The sequence below is a fragment of the Homo sapiens genome, chromosome 5 (genome assembly GCF_000001405.40).
Source record: "Homo sapiens chromosome 5, GRCh38.p14 Primary Assembly".
Taxonomy (NCBI): Eukaryota; Metazoa; Chordata; class Mammalia; order Primates; family Hominidae; genus Homo; species Homo sapiens.
This window is the reverse complement of record NC_000005.10, coordinates 148551389-148569406: the sequence shown is the minus strand read 5'-3', so window position 1 is coordinate 148569406 and position 18018 is coordinate 148551389. Positions and strand designations below refer to the sequence as shown.

Genomic DNA, 18018 nt, shown 5'->3' with positions numbered 1-18018 from the left:
CCTCACATGCATTGGCTATTTTTCCTGATACTCCCCTTCTCCCCGTCCCCCAAACAGGCTCCAGTCTGTGTTGCTCCTCTCCCTGTCTCCATGTGTTCTCATTGTTCAGTTCCCACTTATAAGTGAGAACATGCCGTATTTGGTTTTCTGTTCCTGTGTTAATGGCTCTATTTTAGATATAACAAAAGGTACTGAGAAAAAACATAAAAGAACACCTGTGTGTCCATGACCCAGCTTAAGATATAAAATATTACAAATATGACTGAACTCTCTGCTGATCAGATATATTCCTGATGAAAATCAGATCTCCTTCTGATAAAAAAAAAAAACTCTTCTGTCTGTCTTGACCCTACAACTACTTCCCTGGTTTCATTGTTTATGCATGGCTGTATACTTTTTATTATATGTATATGGATCCCTTCTCATTCTTTTTAACACCTGCATAGTATTTTTTAAGGGTATCAGTGTGCCATGATGTAATTAATCACTAATAGATTTGTGAAGTTTTGTACCATTTCCAAGTGTTCAGTTTTACAAAAAACTATAGCAACACACAACCTTCTACATGCATCTCTGGACACCTAAGCAAGTGTTGGGGCATTTCCCTAGAATAGATATGTTAAAAATGTGCATTCAAAAATTTCGAACATACTGCCAAATTAGCATCCAAAAAGCTTTACTAATGTGTCCTCCCATAACCAGTCCTGAGAGTATGCTTTCAGCACACCCTTGTCAATTCAAAAGATTGGCAATTTGGTGTTTTTTGAGTCTGACTGGTGGAAATTGTATCTTATTGTTTGAAGTTACAATTTCCTGGCTACTTATAAATGTGTGTGTCTTTAGTTAAGCTCATGGACAATTTGTAAAAAGAAGAGTGATTCTACAATATGTAATTCATTACCACTTGCTCTATGAGGACAGGGACCTTATCTGTCTCCCTGTCAACTATAGCTCCATGGCCAAGCATGGTAAATAAGTAATAAATATTGATTGGTTCGTTAGTTGATTGATTTATAGGTTAATTAATTATCAGACCCTATGTATACTTTAAAAAAATTCTCTAAAGGGATAAGGTAATCTAAACTAGAAATAATCAGTGTAAAAAATGAAAATTGCAATGCTTATGTAAGAACAAAAAATGGGGATTAGTGTGGCCAAAAACCCTAAACTTTAAAATAGAAACAATTCAACTGAGTTCTGAAAACAAAACAAACAAATAATGGAACTGGAGAGGACAGACTTATGGTCTCTATTGGATGTAACATATATAACGTCTTGAGGAAAAGATAGAGTATTTCATTTGCAGTAGAAGATTGAAGTATCTGAAGGCAGGACTTTGGATAAAGTGGATAAATAATCACATGTTGTAGTAGTAGGTGATACAACCGTATTTCCAACATAGTCTTCAGTGGCACCATTCAGTGCTTAACTTGTATCTGTTAAGTACCTATTATGGGCCAAGAAAACTGACAAAGCCTCTGCTTTCGTGGCACTTATCTATTGGTGGGAGACAGTTAATAGACACTAGAAAACAAAGAAATATACAATATGTTAGATACATACCATCAGGAAAAATACAGCAGCATAGTGAATCTGAGAATGACAAAGTATGCTACATTCATTAGAATAGTCAGGAAAATGCTCTTTGATGGGGACACCTTTGAGCAGAGACCTAAGTGAAGACAAAAAGGGAACCTAGTGGATATTTGGAAGTGAATATTCTAGGAAGAAAACACAACAGGCGCACAGGTCAGAGCGCACTTGACATATTGGAGAAATACAGAGGAGGTGTTTGTGCCTGGAGCAGAGGGAGGAGAAGAACTGGTGGAAATCGAGATCAAAGGGGCAGCTGGTACCAGGTTCCTTATATCCTGGTATATTCTACCAAGTCTCGGTAGAAACTTGGGATATTCTGCATGAGCTGGGAAGCCATTGAATAATTTTGAGTGGAAAACATACATTGTCTGCCTTTGATTTCAGAGGTATAACTCTAGATTTTGTGTAGCACATAGACTATAAGGGCAGGAAATTGAAGACAAGATTTTATTGCAAGAAATAAACTTGTAAGAAGTAAGTTAGAGATAATAGTGGCTTGCACTAATATTAGTGGCACCACTGATGAGAAGTGGTTAGATTCAGGACAAAGTTGTAAGCTCCAAAACATCCACAGAAGGGGAGAGAACTTTGTTTAAAAAAAATTATTGAAGTTATTCTTTCTTTGTAGCAGCTTCAGGTGGATGGGCAAAAACTAAGAAAATTTCATCTATTAAGCACCACACCACAGTTTATAGCTACATTTGCAATTAAAAACTTCTTAAAATGAAGTACGCCAATTAGTAAGTTTAATAACTGGTGAGAGGAACAATACGTGCGGATTTCATATAATTATTAAGGCACTGTTATGAGCAAAACCAGACATAGGCAATGCATTTTGAAAAAAAACACAATTTTTTGTGGATTAGCAATGTAATACACATTTGATGGGAAATACTGGGAAAAAGTAAAAAAAAAAATGAAGAAATAATTCAAATTTTTTTAGATTAATATCACCTAGAGATAACCATTTTGGATATAGATAATATTAATATATGGAGTCATATGTAATAAATACAGGTATGTCATACGTATAAATATTAGGTACCATGTATGTATCATTTACCTGTACATATATATGTTTGTATATGTAAGCATGTATGTGTATGTGTATCACATACATATACCAGATTTGCATTTCAGTGTTACTCTACAACATTCAGATGTACGAAATGCCAAATTTCTTTTAATCTCTAAATTAGTTAACTTTTCTGTGAGCTCCTCAAGCTGGGTCTCAATGGTAAATTCAATCTCAGACATTTTGTGGACCTCTTCCTCTTTCTCCGTTAAGCTGGACCTTTTGCTTTTCACTTTGTCCTGGTCACCACCACGTCCACAGATCCCTTGAAGGCAAGAGGCTCTGTTGCTTCCCTGTCAAGCTTGACACTGGAGTCTTCAAAGCTTGTAGTTATACAAATCTTAGTTATTTTCTTGAGATGGAGGAAGAAGGTAACCACTCATTTCTTCTAGTATTTTTGTAATTTTTTAAAAAAGGTCACAAATTAATCTTTCACTATAGTATCTGGACCCATATATAAATACATATTTTTACAAAGGTTGAGCTTGTGCTTTACTGTTTTATACCTGCTTTTAACTTTGGATGGTATTTAGGAGAAATGTCCCTTGTCATTAAATATTTTAAACCTGAATTTCAATGGCTGTGTATTAATAAATTGTTTATGTAACCAATACCCAAATATAGACATTTAGATGTTTCATGTTCTCCAGTTATGAACAACATGGTTGTGAGTAATAATGTACAGAAATCTTTATGAACAGCTATAAGGATTTATTTCTTTTGGAATTTTTGGAGCATGAATGTTTTTAAGGCTTTTTTAACATTTGTCACAAGCATCATCTGGATATGCATTGACAAGTACTGCAATACAGTTCTTAGATTTGCCAGGTTGGAATGCCACAGCCAGCTTTTCCAAATGAGCCTCCTTTACATGATTCTGTCTTTGGCTCTAGAGATGACTAGTAACCAGGTGCAGGAGGAGAAGTAGTGGATAGAGGGTCTAATCCAGGTAGAGAATCTGAACTTCAGTCTGTCTATCTTTGGGCAACCCCACCATTATTCTCCACCTGCCTCTCCCATCACCTTCACTCCCTCATCTTCTCTTATATGTTGGGTGCATGGCAGGGCGTGTAGGTGTGAGTGTATACATGTTGGTTGTGGAATAGAATGCAGAGCCTTTCTTTTCAAAATCCTTATGCCCATCAAGATACTGGATACTCCCTGCTTCTCTTATGATTATGCCAGCCTCAAATCCTCCCAAATTCTTGCCCCTCACATTCGTTTACCACCTTCTAAACCCCATCTCCACTCCTATGAGTTTCAGCACCTTTATTTCTTCTCTGCTATATTAAATTGTGTTTTCTACCAGTTGTGTCTGGAAAAACTCCAGTGTATTCTTACTCATTATCTCTTTTCTCTGGCCGCTATTTATAGTTGTCGTTTCAACAGCCCCCAGCTGTTGAAATTACAACATGCTCTCATAATGATCAGTCATTGATCAGGCTTAGTTTCTTGCTACATTGTGAGCTAGAAGACCAGGACCAGTGTTAATGTCATTTGTGTCTATTTGAAATGAACAGAAAAGATGAATATTAATAGCTAGGATTAAGATAACAGACACTACATGCCAAACAACATTGTAAGTGTTTTAGATTTAGATTTATTAATCTTTTTTTTTTTTTTTTTTAGATGGAGTCTCACTCTGTTGCCCAGGCTGGAGTGCAGTGGTGTGATATTGGCTTACTGCAACCTCTGCCTCCTGGGTTCAAGTGATTCTCCTGCCTCAACCTCCCGAGTAGCTGGTATTATAGGTGCCTGCCACCATGCCTGGCTAATTTTTGTATTTTTAGCAGAGACAGGGTTTCACCATACTGGCCAGGCTGGTCTCGAACTCCTGACCTTATGATCCACCCACCTCGGCCTCCCAAAGTGCTGGGATTACAGGCGTGAGCCACCACATCGGGCCAAATTTATTAATCTTTATAACAACTTCGGTGCCCAGGACATGACTAGAAAATAGACTTAAAAGTATTATTAGCCTAAAGAGTACAATGTGGGAAAGGCTTCTGATATTCTCTGGAGAAACTTGTTAACTCTTTAGTGGTTTGTATGTGATGTTAACAGCTATAACTTGTAATTCAAAGCGAGGATTGGTGGCCCAAATGCACTTGTCTGGGGGAGTGGTTTAGAGACAGGATTAACAGAACTATTGAGCTGAATGAAGGGGGAAATCCCTTTGTGTTGATCACTACTTTAAACTTCTTTCAAGCAAGGGCTACCTTGTATATCAGTTTACTTGTCTAACATATATTTGTTATACTAGGCACTGTTGATACCAAAATCAGTAAGTTAGTGTGGTTGGGAGGCACAGATCTTTAAATAACAATTAAATATAGGGTGATAAAAGCTATGATATATAATTATAGGGTACAATGGAAGCATATACGACAGGGACAATATTGAGGTCAGGATGGCTTCCCAGACAATAAGATGTTTAAGCTGAGTGCTGAAGGACATGCGAGAGCTTGCCAGGTAAAGAATGGGAAGGAGAGGAAGGAGTTTAACAAGCGTGCCTCATCTCACTGAGTGAGAATTTGGGCACTTCATTTAGTGTTGGTTATGGAACAGTGTCAGAAATAAAGCTAGAGAGGTAAGTAGGGACCAGTTTAAACCAGGTCAAGATGTGCTATTGTATCAAAATTGCAATGGGAAGACATTATAAGATTTTGAACAAGAGGGAGAAATTAGCTAATTTCTTTTGGGGGAAGAACATATCTTGACTTCAGTGTTGAGAGTGTTGGGAAAGAGTAATTGCCAAGGCAGAATAACTAATTAAGAAGTAGCTCATTCATTCATTCATTCAGTCAGTCATTCATTCCACAGATACATTTGTCCCTTGGTATCCATAGGGGATTTGTCCCAGGACCTCTTTGGGGTACCAAAGTCTAAGGATGTTCAAGTACCTGATATAGAATGATGTAGTATTTGCATTTAACTTAAGCATATCCTCTCATATACTTCAACAAGGTTACTTAACAATACCTAATGCAATGGTAAATACTATGCAAATAGTTGTTATATCTATTGTTTACGTAATAATGACAAGAAAAAGTCTGTACATGCTCAATACAGGCACTATTTTTTAAAGAATATTTATGATTCACAGTTGGTTGAATCTACGGATGTGGAACCCACAGATACAGAGAACCAACTGTACTTTCACAGCACTACTATGTGCTAGGTACTGTAAAACAGTACCAAAAAGGTGCTGGAAAATACTTCAGTGAATATAACAGCCCAAGTTCTTGCTTTCAGTGATTTTACATTCAAGTTATTCTAGTGTGTGTGGGAGCGTAAAAGGTAACAGCTGTGAAAATCAATAATGCAAGTCAAGAGAATAGAGAGTGAGGGGAGGTTCTTTTTTAAATAAGTCCTCTCTGCAGAGATGAATCTGAGCAGACACCTGAATGAAGTGAAGGGTGAGCTTCTCTGGTCACTTGAATGGAGAGATCCAGATGGTGGTAGCATCAGGTGAGAGGTGGATGGTGGAGGTGGATGCATGATTGGCACCATCTGGGAACAGTGTGGAAGTCAGGAAGTCTCCTTAGCGGGAGCAGCCTGGGAAAGAGAGAGTGGTGAGAGTTGAGATGATGGAAGCAGCCAGTGGCCAGCTTTGTAAATTTACATAGGTCATGGTGAGGGTTCTGGGTTTACTCCTAGTGAGATGACAAGCCATCTTAAGGGCAGTGAGTATGGAAGTGATATGTTCCAATCTCAATATTTTTCAAAGCTCATTCTGTCTAGTGGGTGAAGAGTGGATTGTATGTGAGAAATGATGGAAGCAGGGATGCCAGTTGAGAGGACTTTGCAGTCACCAAGTGAAGCATGATGTAGTAGGAACTAGAATGGTATGACATTGAATGGCTGGTAAAGGGTTGGGATCAGGAAACGTTATGAAGTTAGAGCTATCAGGATTTGCTGATGTACTGGAGGTAGAAGAGGTAGAGACCTGGTAAAAGTGGCTTCCAAATTTTTAACCTGAGCAACTGGAGAAATAGATTTGCTATGTATTCATATGGGAAGCAGGTTTGAGGTTAGGGAAATCAGGAGTTCAATTTTGAACATGTTAAATTTAAGCTGTCTCATATACTAAGAATTTGAAGACAAAGACAAAGTAGTTAGTGGGATAAAAGTGGTTGTGATAGTCTAGGAGAAGATGAAAGGAAGCCCTCTCCTAGGGTATTGACAGCAGATTGGAGAGAAGTGAAGGGATTTAAGAGATCCTCAGAGTAGATAATGACCTAGGTAAAGGAGAAGAAAAAAATGAGCAAGATGCTCAGTTTCTGGCGTGGTCAACCGGAAGGGTGTTGCTTTCCACTTAGTGAAAGAATCCAGAGGAATGAATGACTCCCAGTAAATAGGCTCCTTTTAGGCTCTTATAGGTCTTTGTGTCTTAATGCCATGTTCTTCTTTAGACCAAACATCTCTGGTTACAAAAGAGCAGGGGTCATGACACTTTTTCATAAAGGGTCATAAAGGGAGTAAAGTTTCTCTTCGGGCCATGAAATCTCTCTCGTAATTACTCAGCTCTACTTTTGTAGTGTAAACTCAGCTAGAGGAACTACATAAATGATTGAGTGTGGCTGTGTTCCACTAGGACTTTATTTACAAAAACAGACAGCAGGCTGGATTCGGCCCAATGGCCATTGTTTGACTACTCCTGCAACAGCATAAAATTGAGCTGTTTCATCTCTCCTTTGGGCAAAGGATTTTTTGCATTATCAGAGGCAGAAGTAAGAAGAGAAACCATAGTACTTGGCAACAGCAAACCAAGATCCTGGCAAAATATGGAGAGCTGTATCCACTGGCAATTGGGCCTAGTGACAGAGGCCATCTGTTGCAAAGGAATGGAGAGCAGGTTACTATCAGAGTATGGGAAAGTCCACTTTTCCTTGAGTGCTTATGCTTAGGGTAAATGATTTACCAAAGTGGAGAGGGCATATGTGGTCCACATTTTTTCCCTGTGCTGAATTTCTCATAATCACAGGAATAATTTTGAGGAAATGATCAGCCGAATATTGAAAACATGTCATGTGTTTTACCCCAAAGGAAGACATTTCTGTGCCTGGTGAGTGTATTCCTTAACAAGTGTGTGTAAAAAAAAAAAAAATGTTTTCAACACAAACCAGAGACGCTAGACTGTGCACATATAAAGAAAAAATGATCTTGTAAAGAAAAGAAATCTATCTCTGTAGCTGTTGACTCAGTTCCACTTTTGGAAAATGGGTTTTCTTAAAGAGAGACCACCTCTGAGGTCTAATTGACTAGCACTATTATTTGGCATTTCATTTCCAAGAAGAATTGAATCCTTAATGATTAACATGCTGTGCAGCAGTGGGTATCTCTCCAGATGTAGATCTCACCTTGCCTATCTATCCTGCCTTGGCTTTACATTCAGGCATGGCCTCAGAAAACAGTGTCTTTCATCCTGAAATCCTTTGTATTCCTTACAGCTTTTAACTCCATTATACTCTGTACAGAGAGATCCTCTTTGGGCTTTGAAGTTTGTTTCATGCCCAGTATGTGTGATATTTGAGGTTCTTGAAAAGTCTATTAAGATTTTGCCTCAAGAATTTTACTCTGCATGTTTGCAGTTCAAAACTACCTAACCTTCACCAGCTGTGCACCAACCACCTCCCTGCCCTCGTGTCCTTGTCTATAGGGTTTTCAAAAAAAATCAAATAAAATTATTTTAGAATTACATAAAAACTCCATTATATATAATTTCCATCCTACAAGGTTTATTCCTTTTTTCTCCTACCATTTTCTATAGCCAGCACATTTTACAACACATATTAAGCTGTCATCATCAGTATTTTGAGTCTTAAGTTTCTAGACAAAAAGCAAAATTTTAGCATGTGTTTTTTTAAAGGAAATATATTCACTTCTAAGTAAGCATGTTTAAAATTTAGTAGGAGAAATACTGGACTTGCAATAAAAATATGTGGGTTTAAATCCCAGCTTCACCACTTAATAGTTACAAAATATTACGTCTCTTAACCATGCTGAGCTCCAGCCTCTTCTGAAAAGGGGGCATCATGATATTACATCACATGATAATGATAATTATGAAGATTGAATTCGCCAACATGAAAAATCTTCCAGGTGCATTGTTTGCCATATGGTAGGTGTTCAGTACATCAATGTCAAAATCAACCCACTTCCAAGGAAGACATTTCAAAGTGAGAAGCAGAAGAAAATAATTTGCAAAGGCAGAATGGAGGTTAAGATTAAGGGCATCCCTTGTAAGGTTCTAGGTCAGTGGTCCTCAAAGTATGGTCCCAAGACCAGCATCGACATCAGCATTACCTGGGAACTTGCTAAAAATGTAAAATTTTGGTCTTCACCCAAGATGCACTAAGTTAGAAAGTGTGGGTGGGTTCAGCAGTCTGTGTTTTAACCCAGCCCTCCAGATGATCCTAGTGTTTGCTGGTGATTTTGAAGCACCACTGCTCTGATGCTTCATATTATGGAATAAGGCTATGCAAACTATCTTATTTAATCCTCCTCTTTTTTTTTTTTTTTTTTTTAAAAAAAAAGCTTTCCGTAAAAAAGAAAAAAGAAAAGAAAAAACGTTAACTGGGAGACCTGAGAACTTAGTACAAGAACCCAAAGTAATATAAGCCAAATCATAAGAAATATTTTCTTCCTCAGAAAGGATTTCCACTTAAGTCAAAATATAGGATTTCAAATAAGTGTAACATCTAGAACACACCTAGAATATGGAAACAAATGAAGACCACACAGATGAGAACAAACAAGCAATTTATTCAGAGCATGATAAAGCAAGAGGATCAGCCACCATCCTTGGAATTTAGCAAAGTCTCAAAGACAGGCAGGGGAGTAAAAAAGCTTTATAAGCGGGGAAAAGAAGGCTTCTGCTATCTTCTGATTGGAGGTTGTTGGCACATTGAAGCAGGAGGTGCACTAACAAGCAGTGAGGCATCTTACGTAATTGCTTTGGGGAGCAGTGTCTTTGGCATTCTGTTGTTAGTCTTGAGTTGGAAGCAGGTAAGAGGGTTAAAAAAGGGGGAAGCTAGCTCGCAGTCATTGAACAAGTCCTGATCGTTCTGGGCTGGCTGCCAGAGATTGTCCATCGGAGTTTTATTGTTACACATGGTCTGGCCATTGTCCATTTGTATGTTTAGTCTCTCAAGAAACCTAGGGGGAAAGAGTGCATATATTTAAAGGAAATGATATATACTTTAAAACAATTACATAGTATTGCTCAGGTTATTTGTTATAAGGAAAAACAACATACTCATGGATTCTGTTATTTCTATTTTAAATAAAGAAGTATTTGAAAAATCAATTTACATAAGTCATATTAGCAATGTGATTATTATCTGAGTTTATCGCTCCTATATGTTAAACTCAGATTTTGTTCATGGCCAGTAATAAAGGTAATGAAGAAGCCACACACATACAATTACAGATGGTCCCCGACATGATGGTTTGACTTAAGAATTTTTTACTTTACCATGGTGTAAAAGCAATATGCATTCAGTGGAAACTGTATTTCCAATATTGAATTTTGATCTTTTCCCAGGATAGCAATATGCTGTATGATACCATCTTACCTAGCCTGGCAGCAGCAGTGAGCTCCAACTCTCAATCAGTCAGGTGATCACGAAGGTAAACAACCTACGCTCTACAGAGTAGTCTGCTGCCAGATGACTTTGCCCAACTCTAGGCCCATGTAAGCTTTCTGAGCACATTTAAGGTAGGCTAGGCTGTTACAATGTTCTATAGGTTAGGTGCATTAAATGCATTTTCCATTTACAATGTGTTCAACTTACAATGGGTTTACTGGGAGGTAACCCCATCATAAGTCTAGGAACATCTGTACTTGTAATAAATGATGTATACTGTCAAAACAAAAATTGCACTGGATGAAGTTAAGCAGGTAAAGATGACTTTTTTCTTTTCCAAGGCTATGGCAATAGGGAGAGAGACCAGAATGCAATCTGACTTCAACTTCACTACAACAAAGGACAGGAGGGTTTTTAAGAAATAGAGTGGGGGGAAGGGATTACCTAATGTGCTACCTAATTAGCCTTACCCAAAGGATAAGTAAACTTTCTCATATCTTCACGACAAGGGACGGTTTTACAACTTGGAGCAAGGTGTCCACCTAAGTTAGGCTGTTCGATCCTACAGACTGAGAGATAGGAGCACTATATTTCTTGATGATTTCCTTTCAAAGGGAAAGGAAAAGTTCTTGAGAATGGCAGTCCTAGCTTGTAAAACTGGTGAGTATCTTTCATTTACATCTCAAAGTGTTAGAGAAAGAATTTGCAATTACAAATTTTCTAAAGTAAATGCTCTAAGAAAAGGGAGTTCAGAGCCTGGAGTCAGGAAGAAGGCTGTCTAAAGTTTAATCAAGCTGAGTGGAACGTTAAGGCCCTCTTGGTTAATATTCATTCTCTTATCAGTATAGAAACCAACAGGGACCTTATATTTAAGGTTAATAAAATTCTCACTAGAAAAAAATAATTCAATTTTAGACAGGCTCTCTTGTAAGTCAGAATGCCCTTGTACTCTTCTCCTAACTGTTGATTGGTAAGAAAATGAAACATTATTTTCTTTAATTTAAATGTAATTCCTTTGCAAAAGACTGTGCAGGGCTGGGCAGGAAGGGTGAAAAAAATACTTAGATAGGGAGTATGGGATCTTTTGTGGATGTGCTGTGTATATTTTCAAGAATATTTCTTGTGTACATGACACTCCTAACAGGTGGGAGAGGAGACACTTACTGCGGAGATCATTGGTGCAATGGTGGAGCCCTCTGGTCTAACATAATTTTATTGCAAAGTTCGATACATAAAAATATAAAGAGAAAAAGTACTCTAGTTTCCCTGCCTCCTTGCTTCCTGTCATTCTTAGGAGTGATCTTGAAGTAGTTCCAGGGAAGTATCAAGAATATATATATTTATATATTCCTAATATATATATTATATAATATATTATATATATGTATTATACATACATATATTCACTTGAAATGTTCCTCTTGGCTTCCAAAATACCGCTCTCATCTGATGTCCCCAGAACATCCTGGATAGTCTTTCACAGTCTCCTCTGCTGGTTCTACCTTCTCTACTGCACATCTCAGTACTGCTGTTCATCAAGACCCTGACCCTCTTCTTGGGTGATCACATCCTTCCTCAGTTCTCTAAATCCCATAGAAGTGCTGGCAATTCCAAGCATGTATCTCCTGCCCAGTCATCCCTCTGAGCTCCAGACACACATACATCCAATTGCCTACTTGACGTCTTCACTCGAATGTCCTATAGGTATCTCACACTTAATGTGTTTCACCCATCTCATTAAATTGTACCAACATTTATTCAGATATGCAATTCTAAAATATGGCGTTTATTTGTGCTTCTTCCCACTCACTCATGGAATCTATTTTTGTTATCTATCTCTTTACTCCCCAAAAAACCTTTATTCCACCCACTTCTCTCCATCTCCCCAGCCACCATGCTACTTTTAACTACCATCTTCTTTTACCTGGACTCCTGCAGAAACCCCTGGCATATTATCACCCCTGCCCCCATGTCATTACTCTGCTTACATCACTTCTGTGTCTTCTCATTGATCTTCCAATAGAACATAAACTTCTCCCTAGAGCACAAAAAAGCCCTCAGGGTCTGGCTTCCGACTACTTGTCTGAGCTCATCTCAGATGCTCAGTCCCTTGCTCATTTCCCCTGTGATAGTGAACATGAAAAATCTTTTCTGTCTCAGGGCTTTTGCAGTTGCTCTTCCCTTTGAATGCAATGCACTTATCCTGGTTCCTCTGACTTCCAAATTCTCTGCATACATCAGAACTCAGTTGACTGTCACCTCCAGTGTTTCCCAACCACCTCACACTTCTCTCTAAGCCAGCGTGTTTTCTATCATAATGTCATGTTTACACCTTTTATACTTTGCTACTCCACCTGTGACTCAGGAACCAGCAGCATCAGCAATGCCTAGGGGTCTGTGAGAACTGCAGAATCCCAGACCCTGCCTCAGCCTAAAAAAAATCAGAATCTGCGTTTTATCAAGATCCTCAGTGGATTAATATAAATATTAACATTTGGGAAATGGAACTGGGAAGAACTGATCACAAACTGTATTTATTTATTTAATTGTGCATTTGCTTATGTCTGTTTCCATCCATACTATGAACCCCATGAGGTCAGGAAATTTGTCCATTTTCTTTACTATTGAATCTAGTACTCAGCACAGTCCTTGGTATATAGTTGGCACTCAATACATATTTGATGAATAAGAAATTTAATCTAACTTTCTCAATTGATCCATGAAGAAACTGAGGCTCAGAAAAGTCAAGTGAATTTTTTGAAGTCATACAGCTGTTTATGAACAAAACCAGTGCAAAAGCCCACAAAAAATAACAATAAAGTCTGGGCGTGGTGGCTCATGCCTGTAATCCCAGCAAGTTGGGAGGCCGAGGCGGGCAGATCACCTGAGGTCAGGAGTTTAAGACCAGCCTGACCCACATGGCGAAACCCTGTCCCTACTAAAAATACAAAAATTAGCTGGGTGTGGTGGCAGGTGCCTGTAATCCCAGCTACTTGGGAGGCTGAGGCAGGAGAATCACTTGAACCCAGGAGGCAGAGGTTGCAGTGAGCTGAGATTGTGCCACTGCACTCCAGCTTGGGGGACAGGGCAAGACTCTGTCTCAAAAATAAATAAATAAATAACAACAAAAAATGTTCTTGACTCTCCAGAAAGTATGAGAGAGAGAGAGAGAGTGTGTGTGTGTGTGTGTGTGTGTGACAAAGTATAACCTAAGATTTCCTTTGCTATTGTCTCTATCATTATTAATAACAATAATCACTTATTTATCATACTTTATCATTCACAGTCCATTTTCACATATACTAACCTATGTGGAAATTTACCCAGAATTTGTGTCTTTATATTTTCTTTCATGAAGAGCAGAGAAAATGGCAAAACCAGCCCACAAGTTTGTGGAGTTTATTAATGGATCAAAAGATCACGGAGAAAGCAAAAAAGAAGAGAAAGTAAAATTTCTCATAAGAATAGCTGTCAACGAACCAATTTAGTGGAGTGGACAGCTCTTCAGCCAGATGAAAGCTGTCCAGTTGTGGTTGACAGGATTGCTTGAGGGTGTCAGAGGCAACCCAAGGACCTAACATGAATTTTGCAGAAGTGGTTTGGAATTTATTTTAATTGTCATTACTGGACTTACTTTTAGTTCAATGGACAGTTCTGCCTAATTTAAAAAGCTTCTTCTATGCTTAAATTTTGCTCGTCACTCCTAGTTTAAAGTTAAGCTATTTCTAACTCCTAATTGGCATGCCACAAATGAACCATTACATTGAACTTGGTGCTCTCTAACCCTGACATTCCCACTTGGTTCAAAATGTACCTTCTCTGGAGCCAGAGATGTTCATCACAGACGCTCTGAATCTGTTTTCTTCTTTTACAAGAGTAAAGACAGTATAAGAAAGATTATTCTTATGGTGGTGGTGGTGTTGATGGAGAATTCATGTTATAAGGATATGTTTAAATCACAGTCCATAGACAAAAAAGCGACCTAAAACAGCCAGGCCAGCCTGCCCCCAATATAGGAGCCCTGTACAGTACCTTGATATGTGGTCATCCAGGAATTCTTTTTTTATATAATGCTAAAATATAAATAATAAAATTTATTATTAATATATAAAATAAGCATTTTAAGCATATAATTTAGTGATATTAAGCCCCAAAAGAGAATGAGGTCATGTCCTTTGCAGCAACATCGATGGAGCTGGAGGCCATTATCCTAAGAAAACTAACAGAGGAACAGAAAATCAAATTCAGCATGTTCTTACTTACAAGTGGGGGCTGAACACTGAGTACATTACAGACACAAAGAAGGGAACAACAGACACTGGGACCTACGTGAGGGTGGAAGGTGGGAGGAGGGTGAGGATCAAGAAACTACCTATCAAACAATGCTTATTATATGGATGATGAAATAATCTGTACACCAAACCCCCTGTATAACAAACCTGCACATGTACCTCTGGACCTAAAATAAAAAGCTAAAAAAAGAACATTCACAGTGGTGTGCAACCATTACAACTATCCACTTCCAGAATTTTTTCATCATTCCAAACACTCTATAATTCTTAAATAATAACTCCGCATTCACCTGTGCTCCCAGTCCCTGATAACTACTTTTCTATTTAATTTCCCTATGAATTTTCTGAGTCTAGAATCCTCATGTAAGTGGAATCACAATACTTCTCCTTTTGTGTGTGATTTATTTCACTTATTTATTTGTTTCATTTATTTTTAAGGTTCATCCATGTGGTAGCATGTATCAAAACTTCATTCCTGGCCGGGCGCGGTGGCTCATGCCTGTAATCCCAGCACTTTGGGAGGCCGAGGCGGGCGGATCACCTGAGGTCAGAAGTTCGAGACCAGCCTGACCAACATGGAGAAACCCCGTCTCTACTAAAAATACAAAATTAGCCAGGCATGGTGGCATATTCCTGTAATCCCAGCTACTTGGAAGCCCGAGGCAGAAGAATAACTTGAACCCGGGAGGCAGAGGTTGCAGTGAGCCAAGATCGCGCCATTGCACTCCAGCCTGGGCAACAAGAGCAAAACTCCATCTCAAAAACAACAACAACAACAACAACAACAAACTTTATTCCTTTTTATAGAGAAATAAAATTTTGTAGTATGTATATACCACATTCTATTTATTCACTTATCTATTAATGGAAACTTGGGCTGTGTTCACCTTTGGGCTCTTGTGAATAATGCTGCTATAGACTGTTGGTATACAAGTGTCTGTTTGTATCCCTGCTTTCAATTCTTTCGGGTGTACCCCTGGGATTGAATTGGGGGATCACATAGGCATTCTATATTTAACCTTTAGAGAAACCATCAAACTTGTTTTTCACAGTGGCTGTAGCATTTTACATTCCCGCCAGCAATGCACAAGTGTTTCCATTTCCCCACATTCACACCAACACTTGTTATTTTTTATTCGTTGTTTTATTTTTTATAATTGCCATCCTAATGAGTGCAAATTAGTATCTCATTGCCATTCTGGTATTCTTAAACACTTTCTGTGCCAGGGAACACAAAACAACACCGGGAAGCTATTGCAGATCATCTTTAATTGTTAGAAGGCTCTTATTATCTGGTACTAAATCTTGCCTCCCTGTCAGTGACTCTAATTCATTACACATCAGAGTCACTTGGGAGATTTTAAAAATTTCTCTATCCAAGCTGCAACTCAGACCAATTAAATCAGCACCTCTGAGGGTGGATTCCCAGAATCAGCATTTTTTAAGGCTCCTCAGGTAACTTAAATATGCAGGTAAGGCTGGGAACCACTGCTTAAAGTTCACCCACTGGTCTTAGTTAGCCTCACAACCTGTGATAACCTTATCATTGAACCTTCCCTGACATCCTTTATTAAATAGCCAGTCTGCAATCCGCCACAGGCCATCCAGTCCTCCTTACCCTCCTAGATATTTTTTTTTGCCATGGACTGTACTATCAGCTGACACCTTACATACTGTCTCATGCATCTGTTTATTGTCTGTTTTTCTCTCTGTTTTGCTTATTGCTGTTTCCCTAGGACATACAACAATGCCTAACACAGAGTAGGTGCTCAGAAATTGTTAAATGAATGAATATGTGAATCTACTCTTATTTCAAATGACAGCGCTCAGATAGCTGCAAGTAGCTTTTGCATTTCATCTCTGGGCCTTCTTTTCTCTAGGTGAAATCTCTATACTTTCAACCAGGCTTCAAAGACATTGAATAATAAATATAACCATTATGAGCACAATATATCTCTCTTTCACTGAATCAGCAAGTAATTGAGCACTTACTATGTAATGCATCATCTACATATGTAATATTAATACATAGCATTTCATGTACATTAATACATACTCTAGACTAGATATTGTGCCAGACACTGGAGATTGTAGTGAAAAAGATAACAAAAGTCAATCTGTGGAATTGGGGCACAGAAAACAATAACAGAAGTCATTTCAGATAACAGTAAATGCTGTAAAGAAAATGAAAAATGTTTGTTGGCTGTGGTACACTAACTGGGGGTTAAATTTAATCTGAGGCCTGAATGACAAGAAGTCTGTCACTGAAGAATCATTCCAGGAAGAAGGCACCTCAAATACAGAGGCCCTGGGGGTGGAAGAGATGAGTTTCAGGGGGGCCGTTAGTCTCTAAGAAGGACAGGGAAGAGAACCACCATCACCTCCTTTGTTAGTGCTTTAACTCAACTAACATGACCTAAGATCAAATGAATTTTTGGTGGCCACATCAGCCTATTAAGGTCTTTTTTCTAAGTGTACAGTTTTCCTCATTGAATTAAATCTTCCCTATCTGATATTTGTACTGTTGATAGTTAGAACTTAAGTGTAGAAGGGTGATTTAAATAAGCATATCTGGAATTTCTTTTCATCTGAACTTCAGTCATAAACAATCTATCAATCTGCCTATAAAAATACTTCTCAGCTGAATGGAGGGACTTTCTCATTCTCCAACTGCTGCCAGACTGGTTCCTCATTCCCTTTGGCCCCTTGTCTTCTGTGCCAGCTTAACAGAAGTTCTGGACAAGGCCAAAGCCATGACTTTGCAGGCTGCTTCCATCTGGAGAGGGCATGCACCTTAATTTTCAGTCAAAAGAGCTCAGGAAAGACAGAGAATTCTTGATTTTTGGAACTGTGTGTTCTCAGTGGTGGGCTCACAGGACAAGCAGCCTCTCCCAGACCAGCCACTAGCACGCTCTGACAAGTCAGCTCTTCTTTTCTGGGCCCTGGTTTTCCCATATTCAAATGTGGGGTTTGGGTCTAGGACAAACTTGTCTAACCCATGGCCTGTCGGGGCACAGGCAGCCCAGGACAGCTTTTAATGCAGCCCAACCCAATTTATAAACTTTCTTAACACATTATGAGATTTTTTTGCAATTTGTTTTTTAGCTCATCAGCCATTGTTAGTGTTAGTGTATGTTATGTGTGACCCACGACAATTCTTCTTCCAATGTGGACCAGGGAAGCCAAAAGATTGGACACCGCTGGTCTAAGAGTTTTAAGATTCTTTGAAACTTCATTAAAAAGAACATTTTATTATACTATAAAAGTTTTTAAAATCCCTATAGCTTCTGAATATTAATCTGCAGATATCATGCTTTCATTGAAAAGGGATCTTCATTTTCAAGTTAATAAAACAAAATGCTGAGTTTACATGGGGAAGGCAACATTTGTAGACTAAATCAGATGCTGAACTTGACAAGAACACAAATTTGAACTGGGAAAACAATGACATATTGTGGGCACT

The 18018-nt window shown here is 38.5% G+C and overlaps 1 protein-coding gene and 1 long non-coding RNA gene across 8 annotated transcripts in view; one reads left to right on the top strand and one right to left on the bottom strand.

Annotated features, from left to right (window-relative positions):
- HTR4 (5-hydroxytryptamine receptor 4) overlaps positions 1 to 18018 on the top strand; it is a 203496-nt gene that overhangs the window by 85121 nt on the left and 100357 nt on the right. The gene's annotated exons all lie outside the window — the stretch shown is intronic.
- The window catches only part of LOC107986462 (uncharacterized), a 107158-nt gene continuing 98559 nt past the window's right edge, over positions 9420 to 18018 (bottom strand). Inside the window, exon 4 of the long non-coding RNA XR_001742935.2 lies at positions 9420 to 9832. This is a non-coding gene — a long non-coding RNA (uncharacterized LOC107986462). The remainder of the gene's footprint in view (positions 9833 to 18018) is intronic.